Source organism: Homo sapiens, chromosome 12, assembly GCF_000001405.40.
Source record: "Homo sapiens chromosome 12, GRCh38.p14 Primary Assembly".
Taxonomy (NCBI): Eukaryota; Metazoa; Chordata; class Mammalia; order Primates; family Hominidae; genus Homo; species Homo sapiens.
In genome coordinates, this window is record NC_000012.12 from 111,292,747 (window position 1) to 111,314,341 (window position 21,595).

Consider the following 21,595-nt stretch of genomic DNA (forward strand, 5'->3'; position numbering starts at 1 on the left):
GGGGAGTTGTTTAATGGGTATGAGGGGTTTCCTTTTGGAAAATTGTGAATATACTAAATGTCACTGCAAAATGGTGGTTAAAATAGTGAATTTTGGCCAGGCACGTTGGCTCACGCCTGTAATCCCAGCACTTTGGGAGGCCAAGGCGGGCAGATCACTTGAGGTCAGGAGTCCAAGACCAGCCTGGACAACATGGTAAAACCCCATCTCTACTAAACATACAAAAATTAGCCAAGCATGGTGGCAGGCACCTATAATCCCAGGTACTCGGGAGGCTGAGGCGGGAGAATCGCTTGAACCCAGGAGGCAGAGGTTGCAGTAAGCTGAGATTGTGCCACTGCACTCGCAGTCCAGCCTGGGCAACAGACCAAGACTCCGTCTCAAAAAAAAAATAAAAAATAAAAAAAGGTGAATTTTATGTGACGTATATTTTACCACAATTTTAAAAGTATAATAAAGCAGGCCGCGGAGGCATGAGCAGGCAAAAGAAGGTCTGCGTGTGCTGACGCTGGTGCCACAGTGGAAATGACCTGTGTGCTGAGGACATGCGGCCCGCAGGGCCCCACAGCTGCGCTCTCTCCAAGGCCCAAGTTTGGGAAATTGATCACAATCAATGATCGATCCGGTTTACAGAAAGCGGCTCTGGCTGCCACGTTGCTCTCTTGGCAATGGGGGTTTTCCCTCTTTTTCTCCCTGCAGAGCAGAGAGAGGGGACGTCGCCTGCCGGGCCCACGCTGACCGAGGGAAGCCGCCTCCCAGGCATTCCCGGGAAAGCCCTCCTGACAGAAACCTTGCTGCAGAGAAATGAGGCGGAAAAACAAAAGTGAGGAAGGGAAGGTGGGTGGGAGGGAGGAAGGAATGGGCAGGGCTCCTGCTGCCCCACCTGGCTGGGTCGTGGACGGGGAAAGTCTCCTACCAGAATCCAGATGCAGGCTGGAGACCGAGATGAGAAAGGGCCGAGGGCTTTGGACTCCAACCGGGTCTGGGTTCAAGTTCCACTGCAGGAACTCAGTGGCCAGCCCTGGGCAAGTCACATCATCCTCTGAGCCTCAACTTCCCTACCTGGGAAATGGGGCTAAGGGTGGTCCATTCCTCAGCATTCTCTAGAGAAACTGAACTGGTAGGATTTTTTAAATGATTAAGACATGTATTCCTAGGACTTAGCTTATGCAGTTGTGGGAGCTGCCAGGTGCAAAATTGGTAGAGCAGGAGTTGGTGCTGCAATCTTTTTAAATTTTATTTTACAATAATTATAATGTTTTAGAGATGGGATCTTGCTCTGTCACTCAGGCTGGAGTGCAATGGCACAGTTATAGCCCACTGCAGCCTGTAATCCCGACACTTTGGGAAGCCGAGGCAGGAGGATTGCTGGAGGCCATGAGTTCAAGACCAGCCTGGGCTACAGAGCTGGAGTGCAGTGTTGCAATCTTGGCTCACTGCAACCTCCACGTTCCGGGTTTAAGCAATTCTCCTGCCTCAGCCTCCCGAGTAGCTGGGATTACAGGTGTGCACTACCACACCTGGCTAATTTTTGTATTTTTAGCAGAGACAGGATTTCACCATGTTGGCCAGGATAGTCTCAAAATCCTGACCTCAAGTGATCCTCCCGCCTTGGCCTCCCAAAGTGCTGGGATTACAGGTGTAAGTCTGTGTGCCCATATATATATGCACATTTTTTTTTAATTAGCCAAGCATGGTGGCGTGCACCTGTGGTCCCAGCTACATGTGAGGCTGAGGCAGAGCAGAGGATCACTTGAGCCCAGGTGGTCGAGGCTGTAGTGAGCTATGATTGCGCCACTGCACTCCAGCTTGGGCAACAGAGCAAGACCCTATCTTTTCAAAAAAAAAAAAAAAAAAGAAAGAAAACAGGCCGGGCGTGGTGGCTCATGCCTATAATCCCAGCACTTTGAGAGACTGAGGCAGGCGGATCACTTGAGGTCGGCAGTTTGAGACCAGCCTGACCAACATGGTGAAACCCTGTCTCTACTAAAATTACAAAAATTAAGCTGTGTGTGGTGGCAGGCGCCTGCAATCCCAGGTACTCAGGAGGTTTAGGCGGGAGAATTGCTTGAACCTGGGAGGCGGAGGTTGCAGTGAGCCGAGTTCGGGTCACTGCACTCCAGCCTGGGCGACAGAGCGAGACTCCATCTCAAAAAAGAAAAAAAAAGAAAACGGAGGAAATATTCCTCCCCCAGGACAGTATAAGTAACTCACAATATTGCAGAACTATTGGGGGCTGAGCACACCACTGAGCATGCTTCACAGTACCCCCTGAGGCAGACCCTATCAGAAACCTCATTTTAAAAATAAGGAAACTGAGGACCAGAGAGGTTGCTTGCTACTGTAAATTTTGCCCCTAAAAATCCTGGCAGAAACTAACAGGAGCAGCCATGACAGGGTCCACATAGGCAGTGGAGCAGCAGGACAGCCAGGTGCCTGAATGTCGTGTCTAAGGACTTGCAGAAAGACAGAGGTGCAGGTTACAGGGAGTGGGCAAGGGGTAGGAAGCAAGATGGGGCTCGACTCGGGGGCCCCAGGCAAGGCCTGTCCCTGCAGCCAGCACAAGCAGGCCTCGTCTCTCCGCAGGGGCCTTCAAGAAGTACAGATCACTTTGGCGGCCAGACTGGGGGAGGCAGAGGAGAAAATCAAAGTCCTACATTCAGGTATGTGTCGGCACCATGTGGCCTAGAGGGAGGACTGGGAGGGGACGGTAATGCTGTCAACGAGGGGTCACGGCTTGGGGTCTGCCACATCCAGGTGTTTTAGAATCAAGAGGGCAAAATGGGAGTTTGGGAAGAATAATCTTACCCAGTGGGGGGCTGAGCCTCTATGCCCCAGAGGCCACATTGCTGTGGAAAGAGGATTTGAGACAGAATTAATTCAGGTGATGGCCAGGCGTGGTGGCTCACATGTGTAATCCTGGCACTTTGGGAGGCTGAAGTGGGAGGGTCGCTTGAACCCCAGAGTTTGAGACCAGCCTGGGCAACATGGCAAGACCCTGTCTCTAATTAATTAATTAATTAATTAATTAATTTAATACAACCCCTGCAGGGGCCAAAACGCTACCAAGCCACCGACTTAGGGGAGGCGTTGGGGAGGGGTGAGGTCTGGGGCAAACTGGAGAAATGAGGCCTCATCTAAAGAGACAGCCACTGCTTAGTACCAGCCAGGCGCTACCATATGGTCCCCTGTGGCCAGGCCCTTCCATTTTCCCAGAGAAATTAGAAATCTGGAGTTGTATCAAAAACGCTCGTTCATTGTAACACATGAATCTGTTCATTGTGTGGATCTTCCCTGTCTTCCGGCCTGCCAGGTTGGAACCTCGGGGTGGTTGAACACCTCGGGATGGATGGCCCTGCCCAGGTCCTGAAATGACTTAAGGGTGTTGGGGGGCTTATACCCCAGGTCATGGGGCAGACAGCACCACGCCTCCACCCCCCAACCCCGGCCTGGGTCCCCTGAGCTACCTAGGCCCATGGAGAGACCTCATCTGCCCCGCACTGCCCACCCCAGCCACTGCACATCCCTCTCACCAGCCTGAGCCCCTTTAGGGGCAGGAAACTCACTCACCGTCACCAGTTCTGACTGAGAGAAAGATCTCCCTCACTACCCGAGCTCTCATTCTGCCTGCTGGGCTTCGCAGAAGGAGTGGGCTCCACCTCCCTGGGAGACCCAGCTCCTTCCCACTCGGAGGTGGGGCCTCACCCTGCCTCTGCTTTCTCCCAGCGCTAAAGGCTACGCAGGCAGAGCTGCTAGAGCTGCGGCGGAAGTACGACGAGGAGGCAGCATCCAAGTAAGTGAGCCCTGCTGAGGTGTACCTCCTCCCTTGGAGGCCTCCCAGACAGGCCTCCTCCTTCTGACCCTCCAGTACTTGCCTCCTCCCTCTGACCCTCCCAGACACACCTCCTCCCTCTGACCCTCCAGTACTTGCCTCCACCCTCTGGCCATCCCAGACACGCCTCCACCCTCTGGCCCTCCCAGAGAGGCCTCCTCCCTCTGACCCTCCAGTACTTGCCTCCACCCTCTGGCCATCCCAGACACGCCTCCACCCTCTGGCCCTCCCAGAGAGGCCTCCTCCCTCTGACCCTCCAGTACTTGCCTCCACCCTCTGGCCATCCCAGACACGCCTCCACCCTCTGGCCCTCCCAGAGAGGCCTCCTACCTCTGACCCTCCAGTACTTGCCTCCACCCTCTGGCCGTCCCAGAGAGGCCTCCTCCCTCTGACCCTCCAGTACTTGCTTCCACCCTCTGGCCCTCTCAGGCCTTCTCCCTCTGACCCTCCCAGACACGCCTCCTCCCTCTGACCCTTCCAGACAGGCCTCCTCTCTCTGACCCTCCAGTACTTGCCTCCTCCCTCTGACCCTCCCAGATATGCCTCCACCCTCTGGCCCTCCCAGACAGGCCTTCTCCCTCTGACCCTCCCAGACACGCCTCCTCTCTCTGACCCTCCCAAACACGCCTCCTCCCTCTGATCATCCCAGACACGCCTCCACCCTCTGGCCCTCCAGTACTTGCCTCCTCCTTCTGATCCTCCAGGACTTACATCCTCCCTCTGTCCCTCCAGACATGTCTCTTCCCTCTGACCTCTCAGACATGCCTCCTCTTTCTGACTCTTCTCCTTCCTCTGAGTCTCGGCTGGAGGCCCCCGTTTCATTAAGCACCTCTGCTCCTCACCCCCAAAGGCACACAGCTGTCATTTGCTGTGCCACTCACACACCACAGCCATAAATAATGTCCTGGGACCTGGGCTGAGTGAGGGGCTGCTTGGTGGGGGCCTCCCCCTTTGCTCTGGGCCCCTGGGACTGTCCCCGCTCCCCAGCTCCACACTCCAATCCTCAGGGGCTGAGAGGCATTCACCTAAATTACTCTGGACTCAAGCGTTTCTTTAGGCTTTAAGAAATCATTCATTCTGCAAACACTTATTGAGCACCTGCTGTTTATCCAGTGCTGTTCTGGGTCCTTGGAGGAAACATGAGAACATGACCCGGTCCTCAGTCAAGGAGAGGAGACAAAAACTGATGTGCAGTGATACATTTGTTCATTCACACATATTGAGCACTTACGGTATGCCCAGCACTGTTCTTGGCACATGGCAAATGCTACAAAGGGAAGAACTGGGGATGGGAAAAGAGAATGACAAGCAGGGGTAGGTCCTTTATCCAGGGTAGTCAGGGAGAACTCCCTGGAGGAGGTGGCTTTCAGAATGAGGAGAAGGCCATGTGAAGAAAGCAGGGAAGGGTGCTCCAGGCAGCAGGAACAGCTTGAGCCAAGGAAGGCCCTAAGCATGCATGAAGCATGTGTGTGGCCTTGGGTCACAAAGTGCTCCCCACGTGCCCCCCGCGTCTCCCACCCCCTGCTAACAGAGGGGATGCCTCTCCCAAGCCCCTCCATGCTGGCAGCCTGCAGGGGGCTGGGCAGCGCAGTAAACAAGTGACCACTGGGGACAGTGCAGGGCGGCCTCCCCGGAGAACACTGTGATCAGGGTTTTAAAGCCGGGGGCTGTTCTCTTGAGGATGGGCATTCCAGGCACTACCAGGACAAAGGCTTGGAGGTGGAGTTCAGAGAGTGGCCCCTGGGGGAGAGGGGAGGCCAGGCTGTCCTGAAGAGGTGCAGTGCTGACGCCCTACTCCCTTTTCCTCGAAGCCTAGGCTCTTTTCTCCCCAGCCCGATTTCTCTCCTGTAGCAAGGCCTTCAGCCCTCCCCTGGGCTCAGGCAGGGGCTGGGGGTGTCAGGAGGGGCGGGGGCCTGGAGCCCGCCGGAAGCCCTTCCTCAGGGCCTCATCTTTGTGTCTCAGGGCAGATGAAGTCGGCCTGATCATGACCAACCTGGAGAAAGCTAATCAGGTGAGGAGGCGCAGTTCCCACCCGTGGGTGCCAGAGGCTCCCTCTGCCTGGGGTGGGGGTCTCGGGCCAGATGAGGAGGAAGGGACTGAGCTTCATCAATATTTATTCAACTGTGGGTCTTGTGCATGCCAAGTGAGGGAGCCAGGAGGAGTCTGGGCCCCAGGCCCTGCCCTCCCCAAGCTCCCAGGGTGGGCCCAGGGTAGGGGGTTGGGGTAGGGAATGCAGACAGACACACTTGGAAATAGAGTGCTCCAAGCAGCAACAGGCAGGAAGGGGCCGCTGACCCAGACTGCGGGAGTCCAGGAAGACGTCCTAGAGGAAGGGATGTGGAGCTAAGACCCAAAGAATAAATGACAGCATATCTAGGCATGGATTCTAAGTGGGGCTCCCGCCTCCTGCCTTCCTCCGGCTCAGAGGTGCTGCCATCTGGTGGGCAGAGTCAGGCAGGACTTTAAAAGAAGGGCAGCCACAGCCAGGGGGCTCCAGCCCGGAGTCTTGAGTGCCCACCATGTCTGTCCCCCAGCTCCCTGCAATGCCACCAGCCAGAGACATGGCCAGGAGAGGCCAGCAGGGCCTTGAGCCCTCTGTCCCTTGGCTCATCTTCCTGCCTGTGGGGTGGGAGAAGATGCCCACCCGCCCTGAGGTCTGCGGGCCCGCACTGTGGCAGGGAGAGAGGTCATTTTCCCCAGGGGCAGTTAAAAGGGGCCTCTTGGAAGACATTTTGAAGCTGGGTTTCAGAGTCCTGATGCTGTCCCCTGAGGGAGGGCAGCCAGGTAGAAGGCTCAGCAGGAGCAGAGGCCCGAGGTGTGGCTCTTTGGGCGCAGGGTGGGGGCACTCCCTCCTACAGAGGAGACTTGGATAAAAGGGCTGATTCTATGTCCCTGGGAAGCCACCAGAAGGTGCAGGCCTGGGCTGGAAGTGCTGAGACTCTATGAGCCCCTACCCCTATAGAAGCAGTGTCCCCTAGGAGGGTCGGGAAGGCCAAAGTCAGGGCTAGGTTACCGTGGTGGTGGTAACCGCAGTGGCTTCCCTGAGCTTAGGTCCAGCATATTTTTCTGAAATGATCATTAAGTAAGCCCCATTTTGTATAGGCTACATAGCCTTTTTAGAATGATTTTTTGAATAGGTAATGCATTCATGTAGTTCAGAACTCAAGAAGCTACACAAGGGCCTGTCTAGGAAAGTCCAGCTCTCCTCCGAGTTCTCCTCCCCTGCAGCAGCCTCTCTCACCAGCCCCTGGGTTCTCCTTCCAGAGATGGTCAATCCATTCACAAGCCCACGAATATATCTTTTTGTGGGGGGCAAGGGGGACAGGGTCATACTCTGTCGCCCAGGCTGGAGTGCAGTGGCACAATCATGGCTCACTGTAGCCTTGACTTCCCCGGCTCAGGTGATCCTCCCACCTCAGCCTCCCAGGTAGCCAGTTAGCTGGGAACAGAGGCGTGTGCCACCACGCCGTGCTAATTTTTTGTATTTTTTTGTAGAGATGAGGTTTCACCATGTTGCCCAGAATATATCTATTTTAACCAGCGGCCTCTTTTTGTTGAGACAGGCAGGGTCTCACTTTGTCATCCAGTCTGGAGTGCATTGCAGCGATCACAGCTCACTGCAGCCTCAACCTCTGGGGCTCAAGCAATCCTCCTGCCTCAGTCCCCCAAGTAGCTGGGACTACAGGCACGCACCACCACATCCGGCTAATTTTCATATGTTTTGTAGAGATGCGGTTTTGCCATGTTGCCCAGGCTGATCTCAAACTCTTGAGCTCAAGCAGTCCACCCTCCTGGGCCTCCCAAAGCACTGGGATTAGAGGTGTGAGCCTCTGTGCCCAGCCACCCCTTTTAAAAACAAAATGATAATATACTATGCATACCATTGTGAACCTTACTTTTCCCCGTCTATATCTTTGAGCTCCTTCCGTATCAGTATAGAAAGCAGTTCCTCCTCTGTTTTACGGCTGTGTGGTGTTCCTCAGCAGGGTGCACCATCGTCTAACCCAGGGGAGGGCAAACTTTCTATAAAGAGTCAGAGAGTAAATATTTTCAGCTGTGCAATCCATACAGTCTCTGACACAGATTTTCAACTTTGCCATTATAGCATGAAAGCATAGACAATATGTAAGTGAATGAGCATGGCTGTATTCCAATAAAACTTTATAAGAACAGGCAAGACTGCACACAATAGCTCATGCCTCTAATCCCAACACTCTGGGAGGCCGAGGTGGGATGATCACTTGAGCCCAGGAGTTTGAGACCAGCCTGGGAAACATAGGGAGACCTCATCTCTACAAAATATTTAAAAACTATCCAGGCATGGTGGTGTACGCCTGTAGTCCCAGCTGCTCAGGAGGCTGAGGTGGGACGATCACCTGAGTCCAGGAAGATGGAGGCTGCAGTGAGCTATGATCACACTACTGCATTCCAGCCTGGACAACAGAGTGAGACCCTATCTCAAAAAAAAAAAAAAAAAAATCCAGCTTATAGTACTTGGAATAGGAAGCACGTCTAATAATGTTTTCCTGAGTCCAAAACTAAAACCCACACATTATGGAGACGTATAGAGAAGAAAATAAATGTCAGTGTATTAGGTTTTTAATCTCTGTATTTATTAATACTATTTTAATGAGGATGCTGGGGTACAGCAGATCCATATTATTACTTACAGGATAATAACCACACCAGTTTGCCCCAATTCTTACTCCTGGGGTGAGAAAATGAGAACCAGCTGTCATCCCACATGTACTTAAGTTTGTACTCTAGGCGAGGACCGCCCCAATTCTGAATCTAGGTGGTTATGTAGGAGAGGGACCTTCTGAGAGAGGAAGGGAAAGAATCTACCTCCCAAGTGTCATGTGGACAGAGACAAGGACGCTGGCTGTTAGCCTCTGGAATGTAGACACATCTCTGGAGGGGGAGGTAAGACTAGTAGCTTTTTTTTTTTCTTTTCCAAGAGACAGGGTCCAGCTCTGTCACCCAGACTGGAGTGCTGTGGCAAGATCCTAGCTTACTGCAGCCTCAAACTCCTGGGCTCAAGGGATCCTCCCAAGTAGCAAGGACTACAGGCTCACACCACCACAGCCGTAATTTTTTCTTGCTGTTGTCAAGATGGTATCTTGCTATGTTGCCCAAGCTGGTCTCAAACTCGTGGTCTCAAGCAATCCTCTCACAGTCCTGGAATTATAGGCATGAGCCACCATGCCCAGCCCCAGCTAATTGCTTTAAAACCCAGCTTTACTGTTCAGGGGCTGTCTCCATGATGTGGGTCTCACCCACCCTTGATGTCTAAACACATAAACCTCCAGGGAAGGAAACCTCTGGGGTTCTCAGTAGCTAATCAGCCATGAGTTGAATTTTCAAGGCTTGTCCTTTAGTCCAGATCTCAGCTTTCAATCAGATATGCTCAGGGTTCCCTAACTGTACAGAAACATAAAAATATTTCCTTTACAGTCCCACATACCAGGAAACTCTTCCCAAAACAAAATTGACTTGAACCATTTCTGGAACAAGGCAAGATACGTATAAATAAATAATAAATTCAAATGTGAACATGAATGTGTATGGGTCTCAATATGCATACATTGGGCATAGCATCCTGATTGTCCAGGTCATTATGTAGTTAAACATAATCACTATGACCTGCATTACCAGCCAAAGGCAAAAATACAGCCACAGCTCTTTTAATTCTCTAAGTAATGGCTCAAGTAATATACCCTCATGATGTTAACAAAGTTAACCAATTATTGATGCATTTATATGTGCCAGGCACCAAGCAAAGATATCTACCAAATTGCATTTGGCCAAACCACTTCATTTGCAGAACAACCCTATGAGATAGTTGCCTTTATAATCCCCATTTTATTAATAGGGAAACCGAGGCTGGGGAGATGAAGCCTCTTGCCTAAGATCGCATAACCGGAAAGTTGCAAAGTCAGAATGTGAGCCCAGATTTCTCTCCAAAGCCACAAGATTAAATGTATTAACATTTGAATGCTTCCTTCCAGGTAGAAATTTTTTAAGAATTAAGATCTACCAGCTGGGTGTGGTGGCTCATGCCTGTAATCCCAGCACTTTTGGGAGGCTGAGGTGGGTGGATTGCTTAAGCCCAGGAGTTAGAGACCAGCCTGGCCAACATGGAAAAACCCCGTCTCTACTAAAGATACAAAAAGTAGACAGACCTGGCATCACACACCTGTAATCCCAGCTACTCAGGAGGCTGAGGCAGGAGAATTGCTTGAACCCAGGAGGTGGAGGTTGCAGTGAGCCAAGATTGTGCCACTGCACTCCAGCCTGGGCAACAAAGCAAGACTCTGTCTTAAAAAAAAAAAAAAAAAAAGAAAAGAAAAAGAAATCTACCAGCTGGGCACAGTAGCTCATGCCTGTAATCCCAGCACTTTGGGAAGCCAAGGCAAGTGGGTTACTTGAACCCAGGAGTTCAAGACCAGCCTAGCCAACATGGCAAAACCCGTCTCTATTAAAACTACAAAAATTAACCCGTCATGGTAGTGCACACCTGTAATCCCAGTTACTCAGGAGGCTGAGATGGGAGGATCAATTGATCCCGGGAGTTGGAGGTTGCTGTGAGCCCTGATTGCACCACTGCACTCCAGCCTGGGTGACAGAGCGAGACCCTGTCTCGAAAAAAAAAAAAAAAAAAAAAAAAAATCGACCATAGACCCAGTTTAGTGAACTGCTGCATTCTGATTTTAACCACTCAAAACCTCTTTGTGTTAGATGTTTTCATTGCTCCCCATTTCAAAAAGAGAAACTGAGCTGGGCACGATGGCTCACTCCTGTAATCCCAGCACTTTGGGAGGCTGAAGCGGGTGGATCACCTGAGGTCAGGAGTTCAAGACCAGCCTGGCCAACATGGTGAAACCCCACCTCTACTAAAAATACAAAAAATAGCTGGGTGTGGTGGTGTGCACTTGTAATCCCAGCTACTTGGGAGGCTGAGGCAGGAAAATCTCGTGAACCCAGGAGGGGCAGCTTGCAGTGAGCCACGATTGTGCCACTGCACTCCAGCCTGGGTGACAAGAGTGAGACTCCATCTCAAAAAAAAAAAAAAGAAAAGAAAAGAAACTGAGACCCAGGGAGAGGAAGTGACTTGCCCAGGGGCTGCAATAACCTGTGGCCTGGGAAAGCACCTTTGCAGATGCCGTGTCTGGGACTCATTCCATACCAGGTGGCATGAGAGTTGGAACAGCTCTTGCCTTCAGACTAGCCAGGCCTGAAGTTAATGTGGCAGACAGAAGTATCTAGAAATGTGTGAAAACCTGCCAGTCCCACCCAGAGAGCCTCTCTCATCCTGCCTTCATAGAGCAGGAATGTTCTGACTCCTCTGGGGGTCCCAGGCACCCCACGAGAACCCAGAACCTCCTCAGAGGGGCATTTCTTCCTGTCCTCTCAGCTCAGGAGTAACCCCAGAGGCTGCTATTTCTTGTCCCCAGCCCAGACAGGGCTCTGTGACTGGTCTTCATAGCTCCAGGACAGGGTCCGGGACTAGGAAGGCAGGACCTGAGGCCCTCGGAGGTCTGCCTCCCCAACCCCTGCCTGAAACAGTGCAGGGAGAAGGTGGAAGTGCAGAGTGGGCTCACCTCTCGCCCACACTGTCCCCTTCTCCCCAGCGAGCTGAGGCTGCCCAGCGGGAGGTGGAAAGTCTCCGGGAACAGCTGGCCTCTGTCAACAGCTCCATCCGCCTGGCTTGCTGCTCTCCCCAGGGGCCCAGTGGGGTAAGGATGGGGTTGGGGAAGTGAGCAGGGAGGGCAGAGGGAAAGATCGGGAATGGCTGAGTTTGCAGGTTTCAGCATGTGGGTGACACTTTGTGGTTGATTGTGTGCATCCATTTGAAACTGGGAGTGTGAATGTGTGTGGGTCTCTGTGCATACGGTGAGCATAATCACTATGACCTGCTACACCAGCTGAGGATAAAAATACAGCTACAGTTCTTTACTTTTCAAGCCCACGTTTCCATATACCCTTTATTACCAGGAGTTCCAGTATCTTCCTTTGGAGGCCTCCCTTATCCCCAATTATCCAAGAATGCCAGGAACTTCCTCAGACCAAAGATCATTCTGATTTCCAGATGCACCAGCAAAGACATGGGGGAGAGGGAGTTTGAGGCAATACAGCAGCATGCAGTTTTGGTGGCTGCCACCAGGTGTCGCTGTTGAACACCGGTCATAGCAGCTTTGTGCATGCTTGGGATGGTGATGCCCCTGCTGGTTTTCAGTCCCAAAACTGGGTACTTTTAGGAGTGTGAGCCAGCCAACATATCAACAGGCAGTCATCACCAGGACTGCAGTGGGGCCACATACCAAGATAAAATTTAACATTCATACTCAGCCATTGGTTTCCAAAGCATGCCAGGTGATTCTAGGGGGATTTCCCACCCCAGCCACATGCTATGAAGAGCCAGTCTTCGGTGATCAACCCTGAGGTTCTTGTGTTAGGCCTGATTAATCAATTCATCTTTCTCTTTCCTCCTGGTTTGTGCCTCTTTGGGGTCCTAGTGTCATTTCTTGACAAGAGACTTTCATCAAGGCCACCCCAACCTACCCTTCTGTCCTATATTAGCAGTCTCCATCCTGGCTCTCCCAGAGAGCCTTGGGTTCATTATGTGAATTGGTCTGCCTTATTTCCAGATCTCTACATACCAAGGGGTGAGATTCATGATTCCTTACATAATAACAGGTCTGCTCCAGGGTGACTTCCCTCTCCACCCATGAACCTGAACTTGCGAGCATAATTTTCACTTCACCTGACACCCACATATACAGGCCCAGGTGTCTATGTCTCTCTTTCTGTTTGAATATTGGAATGAGTCTCTATGAATGTGTTACTGTGTATGTGTGTCTCTACTTGTGACCTTTGGGCAACTGACTGTATTCTTAACCTGACTGTGCCTCAGTTTCCTCATCTGTACAATTAACATCTACTTTATAGGGTTATTAAAAGGATTACATGAGTCAGGCATGGTGGCACATGCCTGTAGTCCCAGCCTCTTAGGAGGCTGAGGCAGGAGGATCACTTGAGCCCAGGAGTTTGAGTCCAGCCTGGGCAATACAGCAAGATCCTGTCTCTGAAAAAAAAAATGGATTATGTGTAAAGTGCCTAAAATGGTGCTTGGGTCATTGTATATGCTCACTAAGTACTTGATGCTACTGTTATAATTGTTAATGTGTCTTTGGTGTGTCTGGGGTGTTTTTGCTCATGAGAGCATGTGGCTTCTTTGAGCACGCGCATGTCTGTTGTGTGTGATGATGTGTCCTTGTGAGTGTCTCTCTTTGATGCGTGTGTATTTGTGTGTGTGTGTCAGCATATTTGGGAAACTGCATGTGTTAGTGTGTGCTGTGGCTATAGGTGTGTCCTTGTGTGTCAGCCTGTGTCTGTGTCCCAGGAGATTCTGTGTGTGTCCATGTTCCTGGGTGACGGCATAACACAGAGAGAGTGAACACAGGAGAGAGAGGCTGTGTGGAGAGAGATGGAGAGTGAGAGCCCATGAGGATGCCTCGTAGAGGAATTTGCCAATGGTTCTTAATTAACCCCCGTGGAACCCGGCAAATGCCTGTGCTAATCAGCCCCAGGGAACTTTGCTGGTTTGGGGGGTGTGCTTTTCTGAGCACAACAGTGGCACTCGATGCTAATTAATTTAATGTATTAATGGCATCCGCTTCCTGTTTTAATTGGCATTTATCTCCATGGAAGAAAGCTGGGGTTGGGTTGGGGCTTTTTGTTTGTTTGGTTTTTTTTTTTTTTTAATGTTTCTTAGATTTATTTGTAACTAAGCCTGACATCAGCCTGACTTCAGGTTCCTCAAACAGCAACCTCTCCATCTTCATCCAGGACAGAGGGTCCATTTCCTAAAATGTGGAGAAGCCATGGGTCTTGGGGCTATCAGCAAATTAGGCGGAGGAAAGAGCCGCCCATAACGTGGTCCGTGGCTCCAAGGTGTCAAGTCTAATCCTGAGGGTCCCTTATTGCCTAGAATGGGGACATCCCCCTGGAGTAGGAGCCAGACCTGAGAAAGAAACTCAAACTTTTACCTATGCTGTTTCCTCTGGTGCGAGCACCCAATCCCCAACCTCAGCTGACTCCTTCCTTTTGTCATGGCTATTCTTTTTTAATAAATCTTTTAATCAAAGTGTAACTTAATACATAAGGAAAAGTGTACAAGTCATAAGTATACAACACTTTGAATTTTTCAACACAAGCACACCCCATACCATCATCCAGATCAACAAATTTGCATTCTGCTTGGGATTCAGGGGTGGGGAGGCCAGACCTGTGGACCCCCATCCCTCACCTCTCAGCCCCTCAAAGACCCCTTTGCCTGCAGGATAAGGTGAACTTCACTCTGTGCTCGGGCCCTCGGCTGGAGGCCGCGCTGGCCTCCAAGGACAGGGAGATCCTGCGGCTGCTGAAGGACGTGCAGCACCTCCAGAGCTCACTGCAGGAGCTGGAGGAGGCATCCGCCAACCAGATCGCCGACCTGGAGCGGCAGCTCACGGCCAAGTCCGAGGCCATAGAAGTGGGTCCTGGGGAGGAGGCAGGCGGGCAGGCGGCCCCATGCAGAAGCACACAGACCAGCCTCACCATCTTTCTTTGCTCTTCTAGAAGCTGGAAGAGAAGCTCCAGGCCCAGTCTGACTATGAGGAAATTAAAACGGAGCTGAGGTACCATGTGGGGTGGGGCTCCACAGACCCTCAGTGCTCTTCCCTGGCCAGGAGCTCTTGGCAAAGTTCATCATCTTCCTCCCTCCTACTAAACCCCATTTGTTCTTCTCTCCACTAACACTGTGGATATCAAACCTTAACCATCCTCAGGCCAGGTGCAGTGGCTCATCCCTGTAATCCCAACACTTTGGGAGGCCCAGGCAGGAGGATCGCTTGAGGTCAGGAGTTTGAGACCAGCCTGGGCAACAATGGGGAGACCCCATCTCTGTGAGAAAAAAACAATTTTAATTAGCCAGGAGTGGTGGTGATGCGTGCTGTAGTCCCAGCCACTCAGGAGGCTGATGTGGGAGGATTGCTTGAGCCTGAGAGGTCAAGGCTGCAGTGAGCTGTGGTGGCACCACTGCACTCCAGCCTGGACAACACAGTGAGACCCTGTCTCAAAAACAAAACGAAATTCAACCATCTTCAGTCCTTTTCCATTAAGAGCTGCCTGTACGGGCAGATCACCTGAGGTCAGGAGTTCAAAACCAGCCTGGCCGAAAGGGCAAAACCCTGTCTCTACTAAAAATACAGAAATTAGCCAGGTGTGGTGGCGCTCACCTGTAGTCCCAGCTACTTGGGAGGCTGAGGCAGGAGAATCGCTTGAACCTGGGAGGCAGAGATCGTGCCACTGCACTCCAGCCTGGGTGACAGAGTGAGACTCCATCTCAAAGAAAAAAAGAAGCTGCCTGTAGACCATACAAGGGAACTTATTATAGGCATGGTAACTGGAAGGTGATTCATTAACCAGCTAAACTCAAGCTGGCCAGAATGGGTCAGTTCAGGCAGCACCCCTCCAGGTAACATCGCCACCTGTTAATGAGCCTGCTACTTCAGGCCTGGGGTTGCAATGACTCTGGAATTAATGGGGTTCTGGGGAATGGAGCAGTCATTGTCAGGGAGGTAAGCCGGGTCAGTGCCTCTTGAAAGACCTCTCCTCCAGCCCGGGGGCTGGCTGACCTCAGACCCTCTCCACTTGCTCTGGCAGCATCCTGAAAGCCATGAAGCTGGCCTCCAGCACCTGCAGCCTCCCCCAGGTAAGTGTCCCTGCCACCATCCCTGCAGGGCAGGCTGCCCCAGTGAGCCTTCCGCCCACCAGGTGCCCTCTCAACCTGCCTCTTGTCTCCTAGGGCATGGCCAAGCCTGAAGACTCACTGCTTATTGCAAAGGAGGCCTTCTTCCCCACGCAGAAATTCCTTCTGGAGAAGCCCAGCCTCCTGGCCAGCCCTGGTAGGGGAGGAGGATACTCTGGGGCTGAGGGCTGGGGCGGGGGCTGCCTGTGGGTCTCTGGCCTTCTCATGCCCAAGGACCACTGCCTTCCATGCAGGCAGGAGAACGACAGAACAACAGGTGTGCATTGATTTGGCACCTGCTGTATGCCTGTCCTGCAGGGCATCCACAAACACCCACGTCATCGTTGGGGTCACACAGCTGGTTTGGGCCCTTCCAAGGCCCCCTAAAGAGCTCCACTCCCCACTGAGCCTTCTTGAGCTGCAGCGGCTTTCATGAAGTGGTCACAGGGGGACAAGCAGGGCATTGTCATTACACCCCCCACAGCCGACCACTGTGGGGAGCAGTAGGCTGCGGACATGATCACCCTGTCAGCCACCCGCTGACTTTTTTTTTGAGACCGAGTCTCTCTCTGTCGCCCAGGCTGGAGTGCAGTGGTGTGATCTCGGCTCACTGCAGCCTCCGCCTCCTGGGTTCAAGCAATTCACCTGCCTCGGCCTCCTGAGTAGCTGGGATTACAGGCATGCACCACCACACCCAGCTAAGTTTTATATTTTTAGCAGAGATGGGGTTTCATCACATTGGCCAGGCTGGTCTCAAACTCCTGACCTCAGGTGATCCGCCTGCCTCAGCCTCCCAAAGTGCTGGGATTACAGGCATAAGCCACCGCACCCAGCCACCCACTGAACTTTTAGCCTTGTGGCCCCAGGCAGGACACTGTGCTGCCTCTGTTTCCTCATCCATAAAATGGGTGTGACCTTGGGGCCCACTTCATGGGTGCCATGTAGGTCTAGTGAGTCAGCTCCAGGGTGGGTGCCCAGCAAGGGCCCATCTGCAGGTGGTGGCAAGTTCGACTTCCCACCCCAGGCCAAGGTGCTGGGCCCATAGCAAGTTCTCAGCTGATGCTCTTGGTGATGGGGGTGGGGCGCTCCCCAGAACTGGCATTTGGATGGGGCCTGGAAGAGTGGGAGTTGGAGAATGGAGGGGGTAGGGCAGAAAGAGCCAAGGTCGGCGCTTCCAGCTGCTGGACGCCTATAGCACTGCTCCCCACCCCCACCTCCCCACCAACCCCTTCCCTCCTCCTCCTCCTTCCTTCCTCTATTTCTGACTTTCTGTCTCTATATATGTCTCTGTCTCTCTCTGTCTCTTCCCCCCCGACCCTCTCCCTGCCTCTCTCTGTCATGTGGTTTTTCACTCTGTCTCTTTGTCTCTTTATCTCTCTCTCTCTCTCTCATGTGGTCTCTCTGTCTTGCTCTCCCTCTCTCTCTCTCTGTCCCTCTCATGTGATTTCTCTCTCTGTCTCTCTCATTGTCTCTTTCTTTCTCTCACATGTGGTCTCTGTCTCGCTCTCCCTCTCTCTCTCTGTCTCTCTGATGTGGTTTCTCTCTCTGTCTCTCTTTCTCGTTGTCTCTCTCTGTCTCTCTCCCCCTCTGGTTCTTTTTCTCCCTGTCTCTCTCTCCCCTCATCATCGTCTTCCCCGTCTGTCTGTCTGTCTGTCTGTCTGGGTGTTCTAGAGGAAGACCCATCAGAGGACGATTCCATCAAGGATTCACTGGGCACGGAGCAGTCCTACCCCTCCCCTCAGCAGCTCCCACCTCCACCAGGGCCAGAAGACCCCCTGTCTCCCAGCCCCGGGCAGCCCCTGCTGGGCCCCAGCTTGGGGCCTGACGGCACTCGGACTTTCTCGCTGTCCCCCTTCCCCAGCCTGGCATCAGGGGAGAGACTGATGATGCCCCCAGCCGCCTTCAAGGGAGAGGCGGGCGGCCTGCTGGTGTTCCCCCCAGCCTTCTATGGCGCCAAGCCCCCCACAGCCCCTGCCACCCCGGCCCCTGGCCCTGAGCCACTGGGCGGTCCTGAGCCCGCGGATGGTGGTGGGGGCGGAGCGGCGGGGCCCGGGGCAGAGGAGGAGCAGCTGGACACGGCAGAGATCGCCTTCCAGGTGAAGGAGCAGCTGCTGAAACACAACATCGGGCAGCGGGTGTTTGGGCATTACGTGCTGGGGCTGTCGCAGGGCTCGGTCAGCGAGATCCTAGCCCGGCCCAAGCCCTGGCGCAAGCTCACGGTGAAGGGCAAGGAGCCCTTCATCAAGATGAAGCAGTTCCTGTCGGATGAGCAGAATGTACTGGCGCTCAGGACCATCCAAGTGCGGCAGCGAGGTGAGTGCCCAAGAGGGCCCGTCCCCGCTGGCCACCACGCCAGGTCCAGGGCATCAGGGCTGGGGGCTGAGGACACGCGCTCTGGGTTCAAAGCCCAGCTCTACCACCACCTGGCTGTGTGACCCAGGGCCAGTGGCTTTGCCTGTCTGTGCCTCAGTTTCCCCTCTGTAAAAGCAGGAAATACATCCTCGCTCTCTCCTTCCTGGCCCTGGCCAGAGACAGTCTGCCCTTCCTGGGGCACTCAGGGTAAGGGTGGCGGGAAAAGGCTCCAGGCGCTGCCCTGGCAGGTATTCATCCAGCACTTCCAAGCCTCAGTTTATACATTTGTAAGACCGCCAACCTTACCAGACTTGATTTTTCAGGTAATCAGTATGAAGGGTCCCAGCTGTGGCCTCACAAATGCCTGAGTTTGAGTCCCAGCTCTGCTGTTCACCCACTGGGTGACCTCAGACAACTCCTTTCACCTGTGCCCCGGTTTCTGCATCTGTCAGCCTCCAGGAGGCACCATGAGGATTAAACGGGCATCAAGCACTGACCACAGCACCTGGCATGCAGTGCTGCTTGAGAACTGTTAGGGGTGGTGGTTGCCATAGTCATTGTCGTCATCATTTCTTTTTTTTTTTGAGATGGAATCTCACTCTGTCACCCAGGCTGGAGTGTAGTGGCACAAGCTCAGCTCACTGCAACCTCTGCCTCCTGGGTTAAAGCAATTCTGCTGTCTCAGCCTCCCTAGTAGCTGGGATTACAGTCACAACGCCACCATGCCTGGCTAATTTTTACATTTTTAGTAGAGACAGGGTCTCACCATAGTGATCAGGCTGGTCTCAAACTCCTGATCTCAGGTAATCCACCCGCCTTGGACTCCCAAAGTGCTGGGATTACAGACATAAGCCACTGTACCCTATTTCTTTATTATTATTATTTTTTTTTTTTTGAGACGGAGTCTTGTTCTGTTACTCAGGCTGGAGTGCAGTGGCACAATCTTGGCTCACTACAACCACCGCCTCCTGGGTTCAAGCGATTCTCCTGCCTCAGCCTCCTGAGTAGCTGGGATTACAGGTGCAAGCCACCATGCTTGGCTAATTTTGTATTTTTAGTAGAGACAGGATTTCACCATGTTGGCCAGGATAGCCTCAAACTCCTGACCTAAAGTGATCCTCCCACCTCGGACTCCCAGAGTGCTGGGATTACAGGCATGAGCCACTGTGCCTGGCCTCGTTATTATGATTCTTATTTCACACCAGAATCACTCACAGGCCCACAGTTTGTTACATAGACTAAGCAGTGGCCCTGCCATCTCACTGATGGTCTGACCCTCACTCTTCTGGGAGGAGGAGACAGCCCCCCTACCCCACCAGGCTCCGGAGACTGAGCCCAACATGCAGATCCTGCCACAGATGCCTTCTTGCCTCCCCAGGCAGCATCACCCCGAGAATCCGCACGCCTGAGACAGGCTCAGACGACGCCATCAAGAGCATTCTAGAGCAGGCCAAGAAGGAGATCGAGTCGCAGAAGGGCGGTGAGTGTGACCCCTGCAGGCAAAGCCTGAGGCCCCCGGGGCCAGCTGCGAACAGGAGATGAGGCTTCGTCTACCTTTGTCCACCCCAGAGGGAATCCAAGGTGGATCAGAACCACCAGAGGCCAGAGGGACCTGTCTAGAGCGCATGGGTAGCTGTGGCACTGCTCAGAACCCTGCCATGGTTCCACACAGCTCTCAACATAAAATCTCAACCCTTGGCCAGGCGCAGTGGCTCATGCCTGTAATCCCAGCACTTTGGGAAGCCAAGGCAGGCTGATCACCTGAGATCAGGAGTTCGAGACCAGCCTGGCCAACATGGTAAAACCCCATCTCTACTAAAAATACAAAATTACCTGGGCATGGTGATATGTGCCTGTAATCCCAGCTACTTAGAAGGCTGAGGCAGGAGAATTGCTTGAACCCGGGAGGCGGAGGTTGCAGTGAGCCGAGATCACACCACTGCACTCCAGCCTAGGTGACAAAGCAAGACTCTGTCAGAAAAAAAAAAAGAAAAATATCCCAAGACTCGACAAGGCCTACAGGCCCTACAGTCTTCAGGCCCCTCCATGCCTGTCACATGAACTGTTCATAGTCATGCCCAGCTGCCGTGCACTCCACCCTGCGCCTCTGATGCTGTCCTTACCCCAGACACCTTTCACCTGGCCAACTCCTACTCATACCTATGACTCAACTCAGAAGTCACCTCCTGCAAGAAGATGGGTTGGACACTGCACCCGCTTCCCTCCACCCCCACCACAGTGACCTGTTTGCTTGGTGTAGTGGAGCTGGACTGGCCACAAATTCTGGCTCTGCTGTTTATTGGCTATGTGACCTTGGGCAAGTTACTTAGCCTCTTTGTGCCTTCATCGTCTTTGTTTGAGACAGATTCTCACTCTGTCACCCAGGCTGGAGTGCAGTGGCGCAGTCTCAGCTCACTGCAACCTCCACCTCCTTGGTTCAAGCAATTCTCCTGCCTCAGCCTCCTGAGTAGCTGGGATTACACGCACGCGCCACCACACCTGGCTAATTTTTTTTTTTTTTGTATTTTTAGTAGAGATGGGGTTTCACCATGTTGGTCAGGCTGCTCTTGAACTCCTGACCTCGTGATCCACCTGCCTCGGCCTCCCAAAGTGCTGGGATTACAGGCGTGAGCCACCGTGCCCCGCCCATCTTCTCATCTTTAAAATGGGGACTGTGGGAGGCCGAGGCGGGCGGATCACCTGAGGTCAGGAGTTAGAGACAAGCCTGCCCAACATGGCGAAACCCTGTCTCTACTAAACATACAAAAAAATTAGCTGGGCGTGGTGGCGCACGCCTGTAATCCCAGCTACTCAGGAGGCTGAGGCAGGAGAATCTCTTGACCACAGGAGGCAGAGCTTACAGTGAGCCGAGATCACACCACTGCACTCCAGCCTGGGTGACAAAAGCAAAACTCCATCTCAAAAAGAAAAAAAAAAATGGGGACTGTATTAGTTTTCCTTTCTTAGGGTTGTGTGAGGATCAAATGAGGTCAGTGTAATCCTGAAAGATCAGCCATCATTACAGCAAATATTATCATTATTACCTCCCTGTTGCAGTTCTGCGCTGTCACAAACGACTCTGCTGGTGTGGCTGTCCCTCCGTCTGCTGTGGGGGCTTCTTGCAGCCAGGGACCGAGTTCCATCCTCACACCCAGCACAGCGTAGACTGACTGAGACCCTGGACTCCGGTTTCAAAGCCCTCTTCCATTTTTGCAGTGTCTGCTGCCCCCTGGTGGCTGCTCCGAGCAGGTGTCCTGAATCCCTCCAGTTGCCGCCAGGAGCCGAGATGTTTCCCAATCAATGGCCCTCCCTCCTGCCTGGTCCCCGGGAGGGGTGAGGGGATAAGGGATTACCCGGCTACCCTGCCCCACCTGTAAAATCCCCTGAGCCTAATTTCCCTCTTGGTCAGTTCCAGTAGCAAGAGAGATGCAAGACAGAGAAGGATGTAATTATGCAGTAAACATTTATTAAGCACCTACTGTGGTCTAGACACAGATTTCAGATATGGGTGAGACATGATATGGAGATGAAAAGAACCATGAGAAATAACTAGCCAGGGCTGGGTGTGGCAGCTAACTCCTGACCTCGTGATCCACCTGCCTCGGCTCCCAAAGTGCTGG

General features: G+C 52.8%; 1 protein-coding gene, 1 long non-coding RNA gene and 1 other non-coding gene across 9 annotated transcripts in view, besides 3 other annotated features; 2 read left to right on the forward strand and 1 right to left on the reverse strand.

The window, feature by feature from the left end:
• Window positions 1–21,595, forward strand: part of CUX2 (cut like homeobox 2) — a 316,390-nt gene that overhangs the window by 258,582 nt on the left and 36,213 nt on the right. For all 7 annotated transcript variants that reach the window (XM_017019081.2, NM_015267.4, XM_011538069.3 and 4 more), the window contains 11 exons: window positions 700–823; window positions 2,587–2,663; window positions 3,727–3,793; window positions 5,795–5,843; window positions 11,464–11,568; window positions 14,175–14,366; window positions 14,453–14,511; window positions 15,539–15,587; window positions 15,681–15,780; window positions 17,295–17,936; window positions 19,354–19,455. In XM_017019081.2, the coding sequence (XP_016874570.1) occupies window positions 700–823; window positions 2,587–2,663; window positions 3,727–3,793; window positions 5,795–5,843; window positions 11,464–11,568; window positions 14,175–14,366; window positions 14,453–14,511; window positions 15,539–15,587; window positions 15,681–15,780; window positions 17,295–17,936; window positions 19,354–19,455 (1,566 nt within the window). The remainder of the gene's footprint in view (window positions 1–699; window positions 824–2,586; window positions 2,664–3,726; window positions 3,794–5,794; window positions 5,844–11,463; window positions 11,569–14,174; window positions 14,367–14,452; window positions 14,512–15,538; window positions 15,588–15,680; window positions 15,781–17,294; window positions 17,937–19,353; window positions 19,456–21,595) is intronic.
• The window catches only part of LOC105369983 (uncharacterized), a 34,934-nt gene that overhangs the window by 7,518 nt on the left and 5,821 nt on the right, over window positions 1–21,595 (reverse strand). The window lies entirely within an intron of this gene.
• Window positions 139–640: an enhancer, noted in NCBI's record as "H3K4me1 hESC enhancer chr12:111730689-111731190 (GRCh37/hg19 assembly coordinates)". NCBI's record gives its function as "activates a minimal SCP1, AML or CMV promoter by ChIP-STARR-seq in primed H9 embryonic stem cells {active_cell/tissue: H9 hESC(primed)}" and the evidence as "EXISTENCE:reporter gene assay evidence [ECO:0000049][PMID:30033119]".
• Window positions 2,513–2,683: a silencer, noted in NCBI's record as "fragment chr12:111733063-111733233 (GRCh37/hg19 assembly coordinates)". NCBI's record gives its function as "represses an EF-1alpha promoter that drives an FKBP-Casp9 reporter gene in an ReSE screen in K562 erythroleukemia cells {active_cell/tissue: K562}" and the evidence as "EXISTENCE:reporter gene assay evidence [ECO:0000049][PMID:32094911]".
• Window positions 6,145–7,138: an enhancer, noted in NCBI's record as "H3K27ac-H3K4me1 hESC enhancer chr12:111736695-111737688 (GRCh37/hg19 assembly coordinates)". NCBI's record gives its function as "activates a minimal SCP1, AML or CMV promoter by ChIP-STARR-seq in naive H9 embryonic stem cells {active_cell/tissue: H9 hESC(naive)}" and the evidence as "EXISTENCE:reporter gene assay evidence [ECO:0000049][PMID:30033119]".
• On the forward strand, window positions 11,396–11,463 carry MIR6760 (microRNA 6760). Its single transcript, NR_106818.1, has one exon. It is a non-coding gene; the product is annotated as a microRNA 6760 (primary transcript).